This window comes from Homo sapiens, chromosome 4 (assembly GCF_000001405.40).
Source record: "Homo sapiens chromosome 4, GRCh38.p14 Primary Assembly".
NCBI classification, from domain to species: Eukaryota; Metazoa; Chordata; class Mammalia; order Primates; family Hominidae; genus Homo; species Homo sapiens.
This window is the reverse complement of record NC_000004.12, coordinates 101,085,344-101,107,617: the sequence shown is the minus strand read 5'-3', so window position 1 is coordinate 101,107,617 and position 22,274 is coordinate 101,085,344. Positions and strand designations below refer to the sequence as shown.

At 35.1% G+C, this 22,274-nt stretch overlaps 1 protein-coding gene across 3 annotated transcripts in view; it reads left to right on the top strand.

Moving 5' to 3' along the window:
- Positions 1–22,274, top strand: part of PPP3CA (protein phosphatase 3 catalytic subunit alpha) — a 324,109-nt gene that overhangs the window by 239,909 nt on the left and 61,926 nt on the right. For all 3 annotated transcript variants that reach the window (NM_001130692.2, NM_001130691.2, NM_000944.5), the window contains exons 4-6: positions 7,896–8,007; positions 9,106–9,251; positions 13,703–13,842. In NM_001130692.2, coding sequence (NP_001124164.1) covers positions 7,896–8,007; positions 9,106–9,251; positions 13,703–13,842 — 398 coding nt within the window. The remainder of the gene's footprint in view (positions 1–7,895; positions 8,008–9,105; positions 9,252–13,702; positions 13,843–22,274) is intronic.

The following is a 22,274-nucleotide window of genomic DNA, read 5'->3' as shown; positions in this document are numbered from 1 at the left end:
TATGTATTTCCGCCAACATAATAATACCGTCTGCATTTAAAGATCACAGATTTCTTAATTATTCCTGGTGATGATGAGGGAAGAAGGAGTGGTGATGGTATATAAATCCCAAAAGAGAAGTTAAATTCTTGGTATTTCCTCCATTTGATAAACAAGTATGGTCAAGCATATAAAATGTATATGCACCATGAATAGGACTGTGAGGAATTTAAAGAAATGTAACATACATTCTTGCTCTCTAGAAACCTAAATCTACGTTGCAAAACAGAACCATAAAAATCTGTTTAGAATCAGAAGCCTGGAATATGTGATTATCCAGAGGTCAGTAATTTAAATGGATTATTAAAACCTTGTGATAAAGGAGATACAAAATAGTAAGTGTGATTGGATTAGAGAAAAGTGAAAGAATATTGAGAGCACACATGTTTTGGGAAGACTGAATCAAAGAACAAGTAAGTTTTAGCTAGGAAGGAAATTAAAGTGAGCAAAAGTACAGAGGAAGAAATTAGTGAACTCTGCTAACCTTGTTTTTTTGTTCTTGGGGCCAGCCTGACCAGCTTAACTGATGGAAAAGCAATTGAGTACTAATTTTGTAAGACCTTTATATCACATTAGGACTGGTGTCTGCCAGGATTAACAACAACAAAACAAAACCCCTACATAATGGTGGTTTGGACAAGATAGATATTTTTCTGTGTGTAAAAGCCCACAGACAGCAATCCAAGACTGATGTGGCACAGCGTGGTGCCAGGGCCTAGGCTCCATCTGCTTTCTTGCTCTGATTTTCATGGCTTCATTCCACAGACAAACTAGTAACCCAAGATGGCTACATCAGTTTCAACCATCATTTCTCCACATAATATTCAACAAGGAGGAAAGGGAGAAAGAGAAGGGTATATCTTCTTGTTTAAGGATGTTTCCCAGAAATGGCCCAATTCCTTCAACTTGTATCCCTTGAGCCACAGTTTGCTGATATGGCCATAGGTGATTTCGTATGTGGCCAGGATTAAGGAAGACTGTGGTAGGCAATAAACAGCAATGGGAGGACAAGGATTTCTGCTCTTCTCCTTGAATTAGGGTTATATAGAATGTTTTCTTTCTTTTTCTTTCTTTCTTTCTTTTCTTTTCTTTTCTTTTCTTTTCTTTTCTTTTCTTTTCTTTTCTCTTTCTTTCTTTCTTTCTTTCTTTCTTTCTTTCTTTCTTTCTTTCTTTCTTTCTTTCTTTCTTTCTTTCTTTCTTTCTTTTCTCTCTTTTAAATGAGACAGGGTCTCCCTCTGTCACCCAGGCTACAATGCAGTAGCACAGTCATAGCTCACTGTGGCTTCATTCTCTGCAGTGGCACAGTCATAGCTCACTGCAGCTTCAATCTGCCTGTCTCAAGTGATCCTCCCGCCTTAGCCTCCCAAGTAGCTGGGACTACAGGCACACACCACCATGCCCAGTTAATTTTTATTTTTAGTAGACACAGGGTCTTACGAAGTTGCCCAGGCTGGTCTCCATCTCTTTAGCTCCAGCAATTCTCCCACCCTGACCTCCCAAAGTGCTCAGATTACAAAGTGTGCAAACCTGTATTCTGGCCTGGGTTATGTAGAATCTAAGTGAATATTTTAAAAATTATTTTAGTAACTCTTAAATTCATCTTATTCATTTAACATTTGTAGCACTCCTAATAAAGTTTTTCAGGATGAATGAAATAGGCATCCTACTTTCCTTGAAGCTTGCATTCTAAGTGAGGAAATCCCAAGACTATCATGTTGGAGTGATTATTTTTGTCAGTCAAATGATGTTGTGCTGCGTTGGAAATTTTTTTTTATTATAACATTTGTGACTTTTCACAACTTCCTATCTTTCTAAAGGTAATCAAAGGTCACAACACTTGCTTATTAATTTTATAATAAAGTACGATACTACATCATGTGTGGCTTGAGTAACAGCTGGCATAGTTGGACTTTTCCTTCTTTGTGCCACCAACTCCATCTTTGGATAATATTCTTTAATCTTATTGTTCTTTATTTACCTTTTTTTGTTTGTTTTTTGTTTTTTTTCTTGAAGAGTGCAGGCTTCTGAATCTCTGTCCTCAAACCACCTGAAATTTTCTAAACTTTTTCTAATTAGAGCATTTTAGAATTCTTTTTTTTTTTTAAGTAAAGATGTTGCTGGGTGTGGTGGCTCAACCTGTAATCTCAGCACTTTGGGAGTCTGAGGCAAACAGATCACGAGGTCAAGAGATCCAGACCATCCTGGCCAACATGGTGAAACTCCATCTTTACTAAAAATACAAAAGTTAGCTGGGCATGGTGGCATGCGCCTGTAGTCCCAGCTACTCCGGAGGCTGAGGCAGGAGAATCGCTTGAACCCAGGAGGCGGAGGTTGCAGTGAGCCGAGATCATGCCACTGCACTCCAGCCTAGCAACAGAGCAAGACTCCATCTTAAAGAAAAAAAAAAAAAGGAAAAAAAAGAAAAAAAGACGTCAAGAAGCAGTTTACTAATTTGTTCCTCAGCAGATTTTTTTAAAGTCTACAATTAATCTAGATATTTGAACTATGAAATTTGCTATGTTTTGTTTAGTATGCTCCTTTTGAAATTCAAGCAAAGGATCAAACTGGATGTTGGTGACATATGAAGTGTAGGAATTATGGGGCATTTAAAAGTTCTAAGATGCATGTATTGGAGTCCTCATCTTCAAAAACAGCTCTTTAATTAAACTTCAAGAGTCTGAGACTACAACCCAGGGACTTGCCACATACATACAAAAATGACAAAATGACTCATATGTGAAATGTTCCATTTTGATTAGACTGTGACCTTTGAGAGGCTTTGGAATGGCTCATTGATATCGTATGTAAAATAGCATGGACATTTATATAAAATGTACCTACTGAAAATACTTTAAGGATTTTTTATTGTGGATTAAGGAAACTGACATTGTTAGCATGTTGTAAATGCTGTTGTTTCAATAGTTTGAATGACCTCATTTATTCTTGACAGTTTTGCAAGGAACATGTAAATACGTTCCTTTTATGAGTGCAGTAACTGAGGCTCGGGGGTCACACGTGGTAAATGGCAGTGCTGGGATTCAAAGCCTGTGTTCTTCCACTAACCCCAGGCCTTTGCCATAGTATATTCATTACATGTACCACAAAGCACCACGAAAAAAAAAAATCAGTAATGCAGAAACTGGTACACACTATTATATTCACCCATGCATGAACAAACGTACACACAGCCTTCTCCCTATCTATATAATCTGAAGATCAAAGCATTAGATATAAAATGTTCTCTGTGAGTATGATACTGTTGTTTTAAGAAAAATCCTAAAATAAGAGCTCAGTTTTCCAGCGTGTATTATCCTAACAGGCTTCAAAAGGATCTCAATTCATCTCAATAATTCAGGGCTCCACTGCAGGTATTCTCCTTTGGCTATCCTCTGGGCAAAGGGGAGCACTTCAGTTTAATTTTTACCAAGTCAGCTTTGAAGGATAATTTCAGATTTCAAACAGTCTCTGCTGGGTATATTTATAAGCACTAGGTAATGTGCTCTGGGCAGTACACAGAGCTCATTTTATGCATTACCCCCACCCCAGTCTTCTCCTTTTGCCAAAATTAGAAATCATTTCCCACAAAGTTAGCCCAAATAAGACAAGCAAGCTTTTGAGTAGTGATGAAAGAGGTAATTTTGTTTTGAGTAATAATTTGTCTTACACCAAATACTGCTCTTGCCGATGATTGCATTACAGTACCTAATCTCTTTGATCAAGCATATGTGTATATATAGGTCTGTGGCTGAGTGTGTTTCTCTGAGAACACAAGGAAAAACTTAGAATTGCAAACAGAGGCATGCACAGCTGTTTCCTTCTATTCACTTCCTCAAACTCCCTTTCTAGCCGTTTTGCACTACACTGCCTTGAGCTGGCTTCTCAACTTAGATCCAGATCTCAACTCCAGGCCTCAACAAGTTTAAGTGTGAAGAGGTGTTGTGTTTATTAGCTGTGAATTCGTAGACCAGAATGAACCACAGCAAACCAGACAATGTTCCATGCTTCTGCCTGAGAATAACAAGCAAGTGGCACAACAAGAGATGTTAGGTGACAGAGTAATGCCACAGACATGAAGAAGAAATTGCCTGGCTGTCTCCCTGTAGCCAGTCGTCTATATAGTGCATTGCTCTTCCACTGCTGCCTGTCTACATGCTTGTCAGACCAGGCAAGTGATGTCTTAGAGGAGCTACATTTGATATTTCAGGAGTTTGGATCTTTTCCCAACTGATGCAAATCCTTTACTTAGTTTGATGATCGAGAGGCAGCACTTTTGATTGGAATGTTTCACAGTACGAGTAGTTACTTTAAAGAGCTGATTAATATGTACCTAAAGCTGTCCATTTTCTTTTTTACTTCCTTGCTTCCTCTTTTACATCCTTCTTTACTTCTCTATGCAATTTTCAAGACTACTTATCATTAAAAGCATAAATTACAAAGTAAATTATTGCACTATTATTATCAGTGAACCAATTAACGAAGAAAATTATATTCTTAGTGCTGCTTCATTGGGGAAGATAGGAGAAAATTAAACAGGAGAAAGCTATGTCTGTGGCAAAAATTAATTTTAAAAATAGAGGATGCTCCATCTTTCATATTGAGTAACCTAAACTAACCTTAAAGTGTAAATATTTGTTTAATTAAGAGTCAGAATAGAAAGACAATAGCGGTCCAGTTGAAGTGATTAGCGCACCTCATTTACATCTCACCATGCAGAAAAGGCCAGTGTAACACAGCCCTTTGTTTCTACCTTAACCAATTAATTCACTGAAAATTTGATTCAAGTTAGCCATCTGATACCACATAGACAAAAATAAACAATTAACTAATTGTATTTCACTGCTTTCATTGATTGTGATTTTTTTTTACAAGAGACTTCCCTTTTTTAAAAAACTATCAGGTTATGATTTGCTGAAGATCTTCAGTTCTTCAGAATGTTAGAGCTTTAGATGGTAAAATAGTTGCCGGCAAGACAGTGTTGTACTTGGCAGCTCTCTCCCACCAGATGTTGAGGGAGAATGCTGGCAGGGCTCCACCTCCAGTCCACCCTTGCCCTTTCATTTACCATGCCACTTCTTCCATATTGGCTGCCTTTGTGGTTTTAGTCAATGTTTGGGAAGATATTTTATTCTTGTTACAGGGAAGAAGGAAATAAAATGTGAAAAGAAGACTTATTTTTAGGGTATTTTGAGCCAAGAATTTAGAAATTGAGTTATATTCTCTCTCTCTCTCTGTCTCTCTCTCTCTGCCTTCTATTTCTCATTCTGTCTCCCTGCTTCTCTCCCCTCCCTCTCTCCCTCCCTTCCTCCCTCCCTTCCTTCCTTCCTTCCTTTCTCTGCCTCCCTCCCTCCTTTCTTTCCTTCTTCATTTACAGAAAAGGAACTAATATTTCCTCAACTCCTGTCATATACTAGGTACTTTACATCCATTAAATAATCAGGGATATTACATGTATGTTGCATCATTTAAAAGGTGTAAATATATAGGATAGAAATATTTAGCATCGTGCATTTATATATCCCGCTTTGAGGTTTCAGTTATGAAAGAACTATGGTAATTAAGACTGGACGGGATAAAGCCACATGCTAATGTCAGAAAAAGGTCTTTAACAGATAGCAAAAAAAGAAAATGTGGGTCCTAGAATGTGATTCCTCTAGTGGTATTTGAGTGGGGTTACAAAGTTCCAGTTTAGATTTTAATTGGAGAGGTAGAACTTTGCCTTAAAACAAATTGTTACAGGCAAAACTAATCTAAAGAAGTCAGAATTATAATGACATTTCCAAAAGAATATTGACTAGGAGGAGGCTGAAAGGAGCCATCTGAATGCTGAAATGTAACTGGATCTGGGTAGTGGTTTCATGGGATTTGTGTAAAAATTAATTAATCTGTGATTTGAGTTATGGACGTTTCACTGGATATATTATACCTCTCTTAAAGAAAAAAAAAACTTTAAAAAAGTAGCCTAAGTGCCTTCAGAACATGTATTCTCTCCCCCAGCATATAAATGAAATATATTCAAAATAGCAATTTCAACATGCAAATGTATTTTTAAAGGAGTTTTCATATCCATTCATATTCCAAACTAGACATCCTAAATTAACGACCAATTTGGAAAAATACATATATTACTTTCAGATTAAGGTATAGCCTTAGACATTTTAAATTGGGGACAGTCCTCCCATTGACATTAATAATAGTTTATGAATATCTTCCCTGAAATGTGAGACAAGCTTGAGTAATACAAACTCTTTTTATTGAAACATGTAAGTACAGCTATAAAACCCGATCTGTAGCAGAGACTCATTAAGCTACCGGACTACTCACTGAGGTAACAGGAAACGTTACATACATCAACAGATCATGATGCTTTAAGGATCGCTTGTACAGGCCATTTGGTCAACTTTTCAGACATATTAATATCATTAGTCACATGAACTTTAGCTAATAACTATAATCAGAAAGTGGTAATTAGAAACTTAAAGTAACATATATAATTTAATGTCAACCTATTGTTTATTTCAATCATAATTACCTAGAGATAATATCTTGCTTGAACAACAAAATAATAAACATTTGTTCTGATAATTAGTATTTTCTCCAAAACTTGGGCTGTATAGTCAAACATAATTAGTTCTCACTCATTTCATAAATTATCATATAAGCTAAGAGAGATGATTACTCTTTACAAGTAGTACTACAAATAAATTGTCAGCAGCTTTTCCCTATAGATATTATCCAGGATATCTACTGTATTGGAAAGCCAATTATTAATGTATAAATCTCATTGATTTTGATTTCAGATTTTAGTAACCAGAATTAGACTTGTCTCAATATTTTTGTAGTTTTTATATCTTCTTAGCTTCACTTTGGGAATACAGGTTTTACGAGGATAAAAGGGCATACTTGTTTTTCAAAGCCTGATTTTCTGTTCCCTATGGATTCTTAACAAATGTCAGTTGACGATAACAAATTACTGATGTTAATACTTGAATATTCCAGTTGACTTAATGCTCATTCCAGGAAGGCTGTGTCAAATGTAGATGTATCCCCAAGTTGGTGAATGCATAATTGACCATCATTTTTACAGACTGCAATGCCCAAGAAACTAAGTTGAGAATTTTAAGGTATATCAAATGTATCCTGTAGCTTTTAGTACAATATGATTAATGATTAATAAGTAAAATAAGGTCACTTCTCTTTGTAAAGCTAATTATTTTTAAAAATCAGGTAACAGAAATGGAAAAATTGGAAAGATAATGTACAACAAAATGAGGAGGCAAAGCATTGACAAGCTCAGCCTAACTTGAACTGCGTCTGTATTTTCTATTACTTTTCCCCATCTCTAGCTCCCTGCCTTCTTCTCTCCCAACATCTTGTCTTTTCTGTCAGTGTCTTTGGTATATAAATCTGAAGTTTTTGATTTATGTATCTATTTAATTAAATTGAAGTTCAGGGAATCTCACTACACATAGCAGTATTTCTTCTCATCTTTTTAAACCAGTATATTTTTATTTCTAGTATATTTTAGTTAAGTTTCTTCCCTTCCATTTTTTTTTAAACTCCCACTCTCCTCAGGTCACATAATTCTCCTTCTGTTGACCATATGTAATCCATTGTTTTCTTGTGGTATATGATCCTCAGTGCGTGTATGTATGTTTTAGGTGTAGATGGACCTTGGCTTTTTACCAAAGTAATGTTTCCTATTTGATTGTCAATATCTTCTCTACTAAGTTCCAGCCTTTTGGGGGACTTTTGGTCATGGTAATACATTTTATTCATGTCTTTATGATATGTGAGCAATGAAATGCATAAGTGTTAAGGAAAAATATTTATTTTTATATTATTTTTATTTTTCTCAGTGTGTGCTGTATTTGTGGGCCTTGAAAATTCTCTACCCCAAAACACTGTTTTTACTTCGTGGAAATCATGAATGTAGACATCTAACAGAGTATTTCACATTTAAACAAGAATGTAAGTATACTTCAACCTCCTTCCTTTAACACTATATGTGCTAAAAAGTAATTTTAATCAATAATAAGATACATACAATATGATCTATTGCCTAAAGTCAAAGACTTAAAGTGACACTCTTTCATATTATCCTATATTTCTTTCTAAGCATGGACATTTATGAGAATTCAGAATTTCTTTTTAAATTAGAACTTCTTTATAAAGTGATTGAAGAATTTGAATTAAGATTTGATGTAATTTATCCTAAGAAACAAGTGATTTAGGGATGCTACTGTTTGGAACAATAATTCTACTCATTAATCTCACATTACTCAAAAAACGCAAATGGAGGGCAAATTCAACCCTATGCCTCTGTTTTGGACCCAATAAATGAATACTAGCTTCTAGTGAATCTTATAAAACTGAAGATGATGTCATTCTTTAGACATAGACACTAGGAGTGTGGAGTGCTTTTTTCAATTTCTTTTTCCTCCTTACAATTTTTCTTATTATTCACTGAATCTTACAAAGGTATAAAACCTTACATTTTTGTTTTATGTATAAATACAGTTAAATGGAAGAGCTGGGAATCTCTCTATACATATCAATATTTTTCTCTTTCATTTAGTCCTATATTCAATGGAGCATAAAGACTTCTCCTCTTAAAACATTAGATATAAGTCATGGGAAAAGCAATGTGCAGTAAGATAGAAACAGCTTTAGGAAATGTCTTGCCATCTGCTTTTCTACAAAATCGTTAAGGAATATCAAGCAGCTTTATGGCTGTTTTTCTATTGGTCTTCCAGTTGTTCATGTACATTTTTTTGGTGAGACGTCTGCAGATAAATAGCCAGAATGTATATAAAAATTCTCTTGCTATACAAAACGTTATGAAAATTATAAAGTATGAATTAATAAATGACAAAAACAGGAAATACTAGATATAAAAGATTAATATGTTACTTTCAGAAAATCTTAATTATGTTTTGGAATTTTGTAGTATGTGCCTTTATGTTAATAATAGGGTCCTAGCAAGAAAACTTCTCAAAAAACCAAAACTATTTCAGTGAAATGATCCTGCCTATAAATCATAAGTATTCTTTTAATCACTTCTAAAAGGTAAAATAAAGTATTCAGAACGCGTATATGATGCCTGTATGGATGCCTTTGACTGCCTTCCCCTGGCTGCCCTGATGAACCAACAGTTCCTGTGTGTGCATGGTGGTTTGTCTCCAGAGATTAACACTTTAGATGATATCAGAAAAGTAAGTTTTGTTATTTTCCAAGTCTAATCATTTTGTGCGCTACAGTAATAAATAGAAGACATTAATTACCCTGCCTTTATCACTGACTTTATTCTTTTGAGTTCAAATAATTTAAAGTGGTCATGAATCGCTCCTTTGTGTTAAATTTTTATCTAGAAAGAGAGATATGTTTATACTTGGAAGAATTTTTATCTCTACAACCTCAGGGTTGGTCTTACCATCTGACATGTGTCTTTGGAAATATAAAATATTTGACCTCTAAAAAAAATATGCCTTATCATTTCCATTTGGCTTTTTTCAAACAATCCGTTGTATATTCATGATGTGTTATGCTAGAAATGTTGCTTTGCCCTTGGGAAAATATCATAACATAACCATTAAACTGTGCTCATTTTATGGTTTTTTAAAAATCTATTTGTTACAACTTGAGACTTTTAAGTAGCAATCTAACAAGGACAGTGATAATATTTTATTAATTTTACTGAGTGGCTGAGTGAAAAACTGGACTTTTTAAGAAGTATTTGTAAGAAGTTTTTAAGAAATACTCCAGTTTAGCATTGGCTATTAACAGTTGTTTAAACCAGCAAAAAGATGAGTTACATTGAATGTGGAAGTGGATTGTGTCTCTTTCTTGAGTAAATCTAGTAACATGGGATAGTTTTATGTAGTACAATAGATAGACAATCTTTTATTTCTTTGGTATGTTTCTAACTCTGATTGCAATGATGTAAAAGATAGAGAGTAATAAAAAATCGCAGTGTATTTTTCTTGGTGCCAAAATCGGACCAAAGGGAGAAAGTGATGTAAATGTTTTCTTAGGTCATTTTAAAATAATATTACTTGGAATTATTTTAAAGTATGATAATTTCTTCACATTGATATTTATAACATATGTTATTGAAAATTTGTGCCCACCATTAAGCTTTCTATCTAGGAAATCTAAGCCAAATTTTTTCTGGAGGAATTATAAACAGTTGAAAACTGTATTTATCTTCTTTCCTCTACTTTTAGAGACCTAAGAAAATACGCTTGTACTTATCCCATAGAACAGAGGGGTGAAAATAATTCTAACCTTTTATTATTATTCTCACCAGTAATTTTAGCAAGAATAAATTGGTCACATTGTTCTAAATTACTGTATTTGAACTATAAAGATTGGAATTTTGCTGAGATTTCTTCTAAAGATACATACTACTCAGTATATATTTAAGCCTAATGTATGATAGGTAGACTTTGGCTTCAAATAAGTGATGCACTAATCTCAAGGTGTACAGAATTTATTTCTTAAGTTATAGGTTCACTTAAGAATAACCATGGGCACAGTTCAAATTCTAGATCTTGCTTATCATTAGGGGCATTCATACAAAGACTCCCTTGGTGTCACTTGTTTGATTGATTGCCATTTAATTGTTTTTTTCCATTTCTTCTGAGTTTGGAAACTTGATTGCTAAGTCTGAGAAGTCTATATGATGAACATTTGCAAGTTAATTCTATCAGCTGCCATAAGTTATTAAATTAGTAAACAGTGTTTTCCCATTGTGTTCAGTGGAGAAGGAAAGCAAATATTTTATCTATTCATGTATCCATGTATCATATTAACCTGATAACCACTTATTGAAATAGGTTTGGAAAATGAAAAGTCAAATTACAAATAAGTATAGTAGTTTCTGTTAGCAAATGATGGGCATGAAAGACATGCATTTATGTTTTATTCTCTTGCCTTGATCAAATTTCATGGCCTTGGATGGAAGATGAGAAACTTACTAAGTGTCCTCCTTCAAAGGGGGATTAGTGAAAACTTCCCTCAAAATAGTGTTTTAATTATTTGAACAAAACTGATACACTGAATAGAGTTCTATACTGTAGAGAATAAATAGAAAGGATAAGGCTATTGTACTATTTTGTTTAAGACGCAATCACCAGCAAAAAGGTTGTAAACCTCTACTACAAAATGAATAACCATTTTCATATAGCTCTCATTTGTAGTGTTTCTTTAATACTTTTGTTAATGAAACTCATGGTTTTGAGGAAATACTTTAGTAAATTATGAATGTATTTGCATACCATAAGTCTCTACTACCATGAACTCAATATTCTTTTAAAGTTCATTAGTTTTTAGAGAAAAATTATTTTCAGGTAAAATAAAACATTCAAGTTCTTCCTATCATTGAGGTTCAAGTGTTCAAGTATAAAAATAATGTGTTTACTTTCCTATTGGAAAGAAAATGCATGCTTTTTATTTTAAAATTCAAGCGAAAGCACAATAAATAAACCTTGTTTCCTGCTCTGTGTCTTTGTGTCCATTTTTGCAAGACACTATTTCACACTTCTATAGAGCATAGAGCATTGGTCTTTGCTCTATATTTAAAGTACAGTAGAGATGTGATGCTGGTTCAGTATAAAATTGTTTCTTTCTGGGCCAAGCATGGTGCCTCACGCCTGTAATCCCAGCACTTTGGGAGGCCGAGGCAAGTGGATCATGAGGTCAGGAGTTCGAGACCGGCTTGACCAACATGTTGAAACCCCATCTCTACTGAAAATACAAAAATTAGCCAGGCATGGTGGCGCGCGCCTGTAATCCCAGCTACTCAGGAGTCTGAGGCAGGAGAATTTCTTGAACCTGGGAGGTGGAGGTTGCTGTGAGCCGAGATCGTGCCACTGCACTCCAGCCTGAGTGACACAGGGAGACTCCGTCTCAAAAACAGAAATGTTTCTTTCTGCATGAATATAACTAGCTCATTCTGTAATCTGATGGATTTTTTTTAAGTAAATAAACTTCACATCGTAAATTAAGTAGATTTTTTAAAATATCACCTAATATCCCTAGGACTTACTTCCCAGGATATTTTAGATATTATATTCAATTTTCATACATATCATTAAGCTCTGCACATGGCCAGAAAATGATTTTTAAGTTTTTATCTTGCCATATATCAAGTTTTTTTGTATTTGTTTATTTTTACTGTCAATTATATTAACTTTTAGAATGCACTGTATACTTTTTCCAGAATAAATGTTATATTCTGGTAGCTTTGCAGACCTTTAGTTGGGGATTCATATTAATCAGAAACTTTCCCCTCCTCTACTGTCCTACCCTTAATAAGTTATTGTTTTTCAGAAAGAAGTTCTGTATTTTTAGGGACAAGTATTATTTTTCTTGAATGTATTGTTCCAAGAGCATAAATTATTTAAATCTCTTAAACAAGTTTAAGTTTGCAATGAATATTTTGTGGCTAACATAATGGTTGAAATGTAGTCTTGTTTTATTGAAGTTTTTCATTGGGTATTGAAAACATAAAATATTGCCTCATTCTCTATAGATACTAATAAAAAGTAGTGTGCAACAAAACCATTACTTACATCTTGTATGTCCCAGAAAAAAAAAATAGACAATTTGATTAGTTGTAAGCAAAATATGTTCACTTGTCTTCATTGGATTTTTAAAAATATCAATATGAAGAATATCAATTCTTAATAGATTTTCAAAGCTATTGCATGCTTTTATTCAAGAGCCTTTATAATATCTGCTGATTCACCAAAGATCCTTTAATTGCAGTTAAATCAGGATAAACTAAAGTGTTTAAAATTGATCGTGATATGTTATTTCCAGTGATGATATTTCTAATATGCCTTCTAAATGCACCTTTTAAAATTGAAATGTGACTTCACTAAACATTTATAGCTGGAAAATTGATTTCATATGAAGGCTTCAGGTAAAATTATAAAGCTTAGAACTGTGAACTGAAGAATGACCCGCTAAAGTTGAGTTTATTTTACTGCTTATCATTACTCATATTTGTACCCACTAAGATCAACTACAGGAGGCTTGTAGTTTATCATTAGAAACCTAGATAGCCCATAATGAAATAGTATCCAAAATATCATATAGCAAGTGGCTACTTTTAAAGTAAAAGCCATCTTTTCTCAAAATCATGTTCTTAAATATAAAAAAATAACATAAGCATGAAAACTAGGAGTTGTTTTCCATCCAAACTTCTAAATCACAGTTTAATAGAGGCAGTAATAGGAATTTTCCCAAAGAAAGTAATTCTCAATAAATGAAACAGGGGTAGAGTCATAATAACTGGTCATGAAAAAAACATTTGGATAGATAAAGTAAGTAAGGAGAGAAGGATAAAATGTAGAATAGGAGAAATGAGAAACTGCGAAATCTAGAGATAATAGAGGCAAGAGGAAGGTAAAGGGTTAGATGAAGATAGATACTAAATGATCTCATCAGAAGGAAGCTGGAAAGAAAATTGGAGAGAGATGAAGGATAGGAAAACGAGTAGGAAGAAGGACAGGAAGAGAGAGAGAGGTAGAGGACATTTCACCCTGAGCTGTAGCTGGGGAGAAGAGGATGGGTTCTGCACAGTGCTTGTTTCTTGTATTGTCAGAATTCTAAGTTTCCAAAGATTAGTATTTTGCTCTCTGTCTTCTATTTTTCTTAGTTAGACCGATTCAAAGAACCACCTGCATATGGACCTATGTGTGATATCCTGTGGTCAGACCCCCTGGAAGATTTTGGAAATGAGAAGACTCAGGAACATTTCACTCACAACACAGTCAGGGGGTGTTCATACTTCTACAGGTAAGAATAGAGAACTTGCTCTCTGGAACACGTTTGCATCATAATGCTAGGATTTATCAGTCCATGTGTTTGATTTATTTATAATGTTTGTATTACTTCTTTAATATAAATGAAAGGCTCACTAGCATTTATAAAATGAAAATATAAATAAATGAATAAGTGAGTAAATAAATGTGAAATAGATATGTATACATATACAGGTGTACCTTGGGGATGTTAAGGGTTTGATTCTAGACCACCACAATAAAGCAAATATTGCAATAAAGCAAGTCATTATTTTTTTGGTTTCCCAGTGCATATAGAAGTTATGTTTACACTATACTGTAGTCTATTAAGTGTACAATAGCATTGTATCTAAAAAAAAAAAAACAAATGTACATACCTTAATCAGAAAATACTTCATTGCTAAACAATGCTCATGATCATCTGAGCCTTCAGCTAGTCATAATCTTTTTGCTGGTGGAGGATCTTGCCTCGATGTTGATGGTTACTGACTAATCAGGGTGGTAGTTTCTTTCTCAAAAGAAGACATTTATGTGGCCAAAAAACAATGAAAAAATGCTCATCATCACTGGTCATTAGAGAAATGCAAATCAAAACCACAATAAGATACCATCTCATGCCAGTTAGAATGGCGATCATTAAAAAGTCAGGAAATGGATGCTGGAGAGGATGTGGAGAAATAGGAACGCTTTTACGCTGTTGGTGGGAGTGTAAATTAGTTCAACCATTGTGGAAGACAGTGTGGCGATTGCTCAAGGATCTAGAACCAGAAATACCATTTGACCCAGCAATCCCATTACTGGGTATATACCCAAAGGATTATATATCATTCTACTATAAAGACACATGTATATGCATGTTTATTGCAGCACTATTTACAATAGCAAAGACTTGGAACCAACCCAAATGCTCATCAATGATAGACTGGAGAAAGAAAATGTGGTACATATACACCATGGAATACTATGCAGCCATAAAAAAGGATGTGTTCATGTTCTTTGCAGGGACATGGATGAAGCTGGAATCCATAAGAACTATTATTTTTGCCCCAATGCAACAAAGTATCACAAGAACAGAAAACCAAACACCTCATGTTCTCACTCATAAGTGGGAGTTGAACAAAGAGAACATATGGGCACAGGGAAGGGGAACATCACACACCAGGGCCTGTCAGGGGGTGGGGGGCTAGGGGAAGGATATTATTAGTATAAATATCTAATGTAGATGACGGGTTGATGGGTGCAACAAACCGCCAGGGCACATGTATACCTATGTAACAAACCTGCACATTCTGCACATGTACTCCAGAACTTAAAAAAAACTCCAGTATTAAAAAAAAAAAAACTGTACCAAAAAAATCCAACACCAGCCTTGTTTTAATTCAATTATGTTATCACATTTAAAAGTTTTACCAGTTTCTGTAACTCAGATCAGAAAAACAACTTTACATTGGTTAAATCAATCATTTAATTCCTTCTTACATTTGTTTATCAGGCTTCCTGGATAAATTAAAATAAGCAGCTTTACAGTATATAGGAACCATAGTATATTTATTTTTAGGACTTTGACAAGCCAAGTTGAAAATATTTTTATAATAATTTTTACATTTTACAAATCGCTAGAGATTTACCCATTACATGACATTTTATAACACTTCAGAAAGGAATCTGCAACACGATTAGGTTTCTGCATGACCTCACTGTCTTCCTATCGTGTCACCTCAGTTTTATCCTCCCAGATGTGATCTTCCTCAGTTTCACTAAAGTCTCTTATCATTATACATACAGCTTATGTGAAAATTGCGAGAGTGAAAGAGAAAAGAGGTTATGAAGAAGATGAGAATTTTTAATTTTAGAATACTTACTCCTCCTCTTCTCCTCCTTCCTCCTCCTCCTCCTCCTCTTCTTCATTATTATTATTATTATTATTATTATTATTATTATTATTATTAGATACTGAAGAACTTAACCTGATGTTCCCTGAAGTTAATGCTCAATTCCAGCCCTGGCAGCTAAGCTAATGGCAAGGCTGGAAGAATTCTGTAAAATACATCCAGCTGTGTATCTTCTGTCTCTAGAGTAAGCAAATATCCTTCTATAGGACGTTGATCTGATGCCTATTTAGTAGTAGGACATTTTGTTCCATATACTAAGTTTTCTTATGGGGGAAAAAAAGTTTTTCTATCTGTTGATGTGATTGATAAATTAAAGTTCATGAATAGAAAATCTAGTGCACTATAAAGCGTCTTTCAAAGTATAGCTTTCTTTATATGAATATTAACAGAGAGGTTTGTTCTAAGCATATTTATTTTAAAAATTTATAGTTCACTTCTATATTTTGGAAATGTGGTTTAATGAATCCATTTTGGCTGAATTAAAGACGCATGGTATAATATTTCTGAAAAGGCTAAAATTTATTTTCAGTAATTAATTTGGGAGTAATCTTTTATTAAAGATGTTTAAATTTATAGTGAAAAGTTGGCATTGTTAAAGTACGTCAAAGTTATGTGTTCAGTTTTCCAAAGCTAGTGTTAACTTTCTAATTATACCCTAGATGTTTAAATTACCTGCTTGATATCACAGAGTTATACTTCAGTAACATAATATCAAACAAAATTCAAACTCTTGATTTTGATATTGAGTCCTGTTGCATTAATAATAGTATAGCATTCTATTCGTTTTCGTGTCAGCTGTTCAAATCATATTCTAAGCAGAGTCCCATACTGAACTTATATAATACTGAACTTATATAATATTATGGCATTAGACACAGATGTGTATATATTATGTGTGTATATTATAATATAGACACAGATATGTGTGTATATTATAATATAGACACAGATATGTGTGTATATTATAATATAGACACAGATATGTGTGTATATTATAATATAGACACAGATATGTGTGTATATTATAATATAGACACAGATATGTCTATATATTACGGCATTAGACACAGACGTGTGTATATATTTGTAAAATAAATATATAGAATATATTTAGAATAAAGTCTACCATCTTTAATAATAGAGGATAATCAGAGAATTAAACATATTTTCACTTTTGTTTTCAGCATTATGATTATTTCGTCTCATTAAACATCCTTTTTTTTTTTTTTTTTTTTTTGAGACAGAGTCTCACTCTGTCACCCAGGCTGGAGTGCAGTGGTGCGATCTCGGCTCACCACAACCTCCACCTCCCGGGTTCAAGCGATTCTCCTGTCTCAGCCTCCCGAGTAGCTGGGATTACAGGCATGCGCCACCATGCCTGCCTAATTTTTTATTTTTAGTAGAGACGGGGTTTCTTTCTCCATGTTGGTCAGGCTGGTCTCAAACTCCTGACCTCAGGTGATCCATCCACCTCGGCCTCCCAAAGTGCTGGGATTACAGGCATGAGCCACTGCACCCAGCCTCATTAAACATTCTTAATAAATAATGATTTTTAGCTATGGCAAGTATAGATTATGTGAATAGCTGAATATCTAAATCTGTGGCCTATATATAGACTGACTAATGTCAAAGCAGTCTGGATTATGTTTTATCTAAGGAGGAGAAAAATGTTTCTCATTCTCCTACAGCTTTTTGGTCCTTTTGTCTTTAGTGCCACCTTGAAAGTATGAAGGCATCCTCTGGGATTATGGTTTATAAAGTGGATCTAGATGGGCACAAGCAAGCCATGAAATTGGTAGAGAACCTTAGTGGCAATTACCATTTTGAATTATTGGCAGGTATTTTGATCCACAGCTCTCAGTTTTATTTAACATTTGTATGTGTAGTTTGTGTGTTTACTTTGCTATGCCAGCCTATCCACTATCTAACATGTTATCTGGGCCATTATTTAAATAAAATAAAGTTATGCAGAAAATATGCATCAGTCAGAATTTAACACTGTTCCTGAGTTATATCAGATAGGCAGTGTGACAGAGAGGAAAGAATCCATAAGATCTATGATTTTGCCCCAATGTACCATTATCTTTAGAATCTTAGACCAGAGTTTGCACACTCAAATAATACCTATAATGTTCAGGCAGATAGTTGAGATACTTGGAGCAGGGCAAGTGTTAGATTCTGGAAATTAGTGAGGATCATGACAAATTTTCATTTCATGTAGACCAATGAAAACTGGCAGCTGGATTTGGTGTTTAGGTTATCAATCTGTATTTCTGCCTTGGATGAATCATATAAGCTTTGTATCCTGGGTTTACCTTGCTTCAAAATGAGTGAGTTAAATTAGACACCCTAAAGCTCTTTTAAACTCTGAAATTTTAGGGGCATCTTGACAGTGATTTTGAAGTGTTTTGGAAGCTACAGGTAGCAACTCACTCAAATCACTACTGGTCCCTTAATCACAAATCAGCAGCCTTCTCTTCTCACACTGCCCAGCTTCTGTGCAGCAGTTGACACTCTTATCAGCCGCTTCCATCTTGAAATCCTCTGGTTCCTTGTTTATATATCCTGATTCTCCTCTGACTTGTCAGGGCGATCCCTTCTCTTCCTGATGCCTCTTTTTTTTTGTCTTTCTTCTGCTTTGGCATTTTTTTCTTCACACTTTCCTCTAGGAACCTCACCTACACCCACTTCCCTAGATTCACTGTAAACTGTAAACTCTATGGCCAGTTCCTGAATCTATGTCTAGCCCGCTTCATCTCTTTTCCTGAGCTCAATTCCTGTATGTCTAGTTGTCTGCTGGAACTTCTTTTCTAGGGATTCCATTTTCACCTTAACCTAAACTCACCATGCCTGAAAGGGCTTAATTACTTTCCCACTTGCTTAATCCCCACTGAAAATTCCTCCTGTTTTTTGTTTGTTTTTTGTTTACTGTTCATTCTCCCAGCCATGCAGACTAACAGGTGTCTTTGCTTTTTCCTCGTGTATTGAAATCACCACCAGTCATCACATCTTTATAAATATCACAAGCATCTAAACCATGCTGCCTTTCCTCTTTCCCACTGTGAATTCAAGACCTTTATTTTTAGTCTATTGAAATCACACCTGAGCTCTCTGCTTCCAATTTCATTAGTATCGTCCCTCTTCCCTCTACCCAATGCATACTGTTCCATTCATGGGTATCTTTTTTGAGAATTTTTTCACTCATTCAGTTATTTAGCACACATTAGCTGAGCATTTACTGTAGTATATTCTCTCTACTAAGTTTTTCTCTTTTTTTTTTTTTTTTTTTTTTTTGAGATGGAGTCTTGCTCTGTCGCCCAGGCTGGAGAGCAGTGGTGCGATCTCGGCTCACTGCAAGCTCTGCCTCCTGGGTTCACACCATTCTCCTGCCTCAGCTTCCCGAGTAGCTAGAACTACAGGCGCCCACCACCACACCAGGCTAATTTTTTATATTTTTGATAGAGACAGGGTTTCACTGTGTTAGCCAGGATGGTCTCCATCTCCTGACCTCGTGATCCACCCGCCTCGGCCTCCCAAAGTGCTGGGATTACAGGCGTGAGCCAACATGCCTGGCCTCTCTCTACTAAGTTTTATAGATGCTGAGTCCCTGCCTTCAAGAAAATGGCAGTCCAGTAGCAGAGCTCACAAAGCAGAAACAGACAAGTAAAATACAAAGTGAATAGTGCCGTCATTATAAATGTGCAGGCTATTACACACACGCGCACACACACAGGTTGGTGGGGAGGGGGAGAGAGAGACAGACAATCTGAGTGAGTGTGTTGGGAATCCTAACCCCAAGGGGGAATGGATTAGGTTCAAGGGACTATTCATGATGAAGGCATTAGCAGACCTGAGTTTTAAAGGATTAGTAGAACATATCCAACCAGAGTCATTGGGGAAGATTTTTGCAGGCGGGGAAAGCGGCATCATGAAAATATGAAGGAATGTAACACTGGGAATTCTGCAGAGAAGGTCACCTGATCTTACTTCACCTCTACTCCCAAATTACATTAGCTGCTTCATTATCTGTTAAAACTGAACATTCATATTACCAAGCTATTCAGCCCCTATTTTATATCCTTTAGAAATGTCTCTATAAGTGCATCAAACGACATGTGCAAGGTTAATCATAACAGCCAAGAAATGAAAACTCGGATATCCATTTAGTAGAATGAATAATAAATTCTAATATATTTATACAACTAAATACAGCAAATGAGAATGAGCTTACTAAAACTACACATAACAACATGGTTGAAGATCCCAAGCATAATGACGAGTGAAAGAAGCCGATAGTGACCAGTAGATACTGTATGATTCCACTGAAATAAGAGTTCAACATCAGAGAAAACTAATCTTTCATGCTATAAGCCAGGATACTGGTTACCCATAGAGAGGAGGTGACAGTAAGAGAAATATGAGGAGTTTCTGGGGTTTGATAATGTTCTGTGTCTTGATCAGAGTGCAGGTTCCAAGGGTGTTCACTTTGTGAAAGGTCATCAAATTAATTTTTGCCTTTTTCTGTATAGATGTTTTACTTTACTAAAAAGTTTGCCTTAAATAAAAATTGCTTGCCACTTCTGAACTTAAATTCTGGAAAAGTTCTGTCAGGAAGAGTTGGCCCCTTAGGACTTGATCCCCATTGGACAAAAATGAAATTAGATCAAGAACCCTGGGACAAAAAAGAAACACAGCAAGTCCTAGGAAAAGGTAGGTCTGACAGCATCCAGGTAGCCCCAGGACACTCCTGGGCTAAGTACCCATTCCCAGGCCCCAAGAAGCAGAGGAGGAGTTGAACAATCAGGCAGGGTCTTCCCTATTACTGGATCTGGAAGAGGAGAAGGACACCAAAGAGACTGTGGCTTCCTCCTTGTGTATTGGCAGGGGATTGCAGGCTGCCTGCCTCTGCTTTGCCAAAGCACTGAGGGAGGAGGGAAAGAAACCCTTTGCATCTCTCACCTGCTTGACTGCCCCTATTGAAGCTACTTCAGCAATTGAGCATAAGCCCCAATAAGCTGACAGATTGCTGCTAAGCATTTAAGATATGAAAATGCAAATGAAAAAGCGGTGTTCCTCTCCTAAGGCATTCACTATTGCTGGAGCACAGAAGTAGAAATATAATTTACACTACAACATGATAAGTGATATATTAGATACATATATTGTAGGAACACAGTGGATACAGCAGTTGTGTACACCTTAGGTGAGATAGCCTTGAAGAGAATGCTTCACAGGTGATAACTTGTGAAGACTTGGCAGAAGAATAGGCCTTTCCAGGAGGAAAAACTGCACAGGGAAAGTATCCATAAAGGCATAAAAACATTTAAAAAAAAAACATTTTAATAATGCCCACTAGCTATGTCATGGCTAAAGAGTCTTACATCTGGGAGATTAAACTCAAGGTTGAAAATATAGTTCAATATGATATAGAAACAAATACAAGAGAATAAACAGAATTAATCTAATAGTAACTGTTTGCTCTACTGCCAAGCCAATTTTTCTACCATTTATTACATTTTTTTCTTTTCTACCTTCCTTATCTTTGTTCCTATTCACTCAGCTTCTGATGATCCCTCTTCTTTTCCGAGCAGAATTCTAACCCCTTTCCTATCTACCAATCTGCATACGTCATTCTCTTTAATATATAACAAAAGATAGATATTTTTCAAAAAGATTTCTCTGATTAATTTCAGATGCTTTCTTGCTTGCTTTATAATATCTTTATAAAACTTCTATTTTATCTTCAATGTGTTTTATAATATAGTAATTTTTTAAAAATATTTTTTATAATGCTTTATGTTCCTAAGATAATAAATACCCTTAGGACAGAAACCTGCCTTGAACTTATACCGCCCCTCCCTGTAGCTAATACTGTCTTCTAACAAATGGAACAATCATCACTGGGCCTCTGCTAAATTACTGGGGAATAAGTGATTTTTCATCTCTTTGGGGTGTTTAGGTGTTAGCAATATGCTTTTCCTGCCGTTCTCTCTCTCTCGCTCTTTCTCTCTCTCTCTCTCTGTGTGTGTGTGTGTGTGTGTGTATATACGCAGTGCTTTTCAGCTTGAACATTTTGTGATTTGTGATAATTTCCATTAAAAAGCATAAAAGTGGAACAGAGTTTCTGTTTCTCTTTTCTAATACTATTAGAAACTTCTGTATATCCTAGGTAAATAGTTCAGCAACAGTGGGAATCTAGATGATATTCAAGTATTGTCTAGATCTATGAGGAAAATGTTGGTATTTCTTTGAAAAGCTGAGTATATGATGGCATATGTTTTGAAAATGTCTGAAGTTTTTCTTCAAAATGAATTCCCTCCAAGTCAATAATGCAAATACTCCTCACTTAATGCTGTTAACCTAGCAAATTGGCACTTGATTAATTTTATTTTTTTCAGATTTCCAATAAAAATCAGGTATATATTTTCATGGGGAAAAACTTAGCTTAAACACATAAGGGTATCAAACTTAGTGTGACGAAAATATTTTAAAATTATTCTTTCTTAAGAATAGTGTAAGTTGTTCCAAAAGGGCA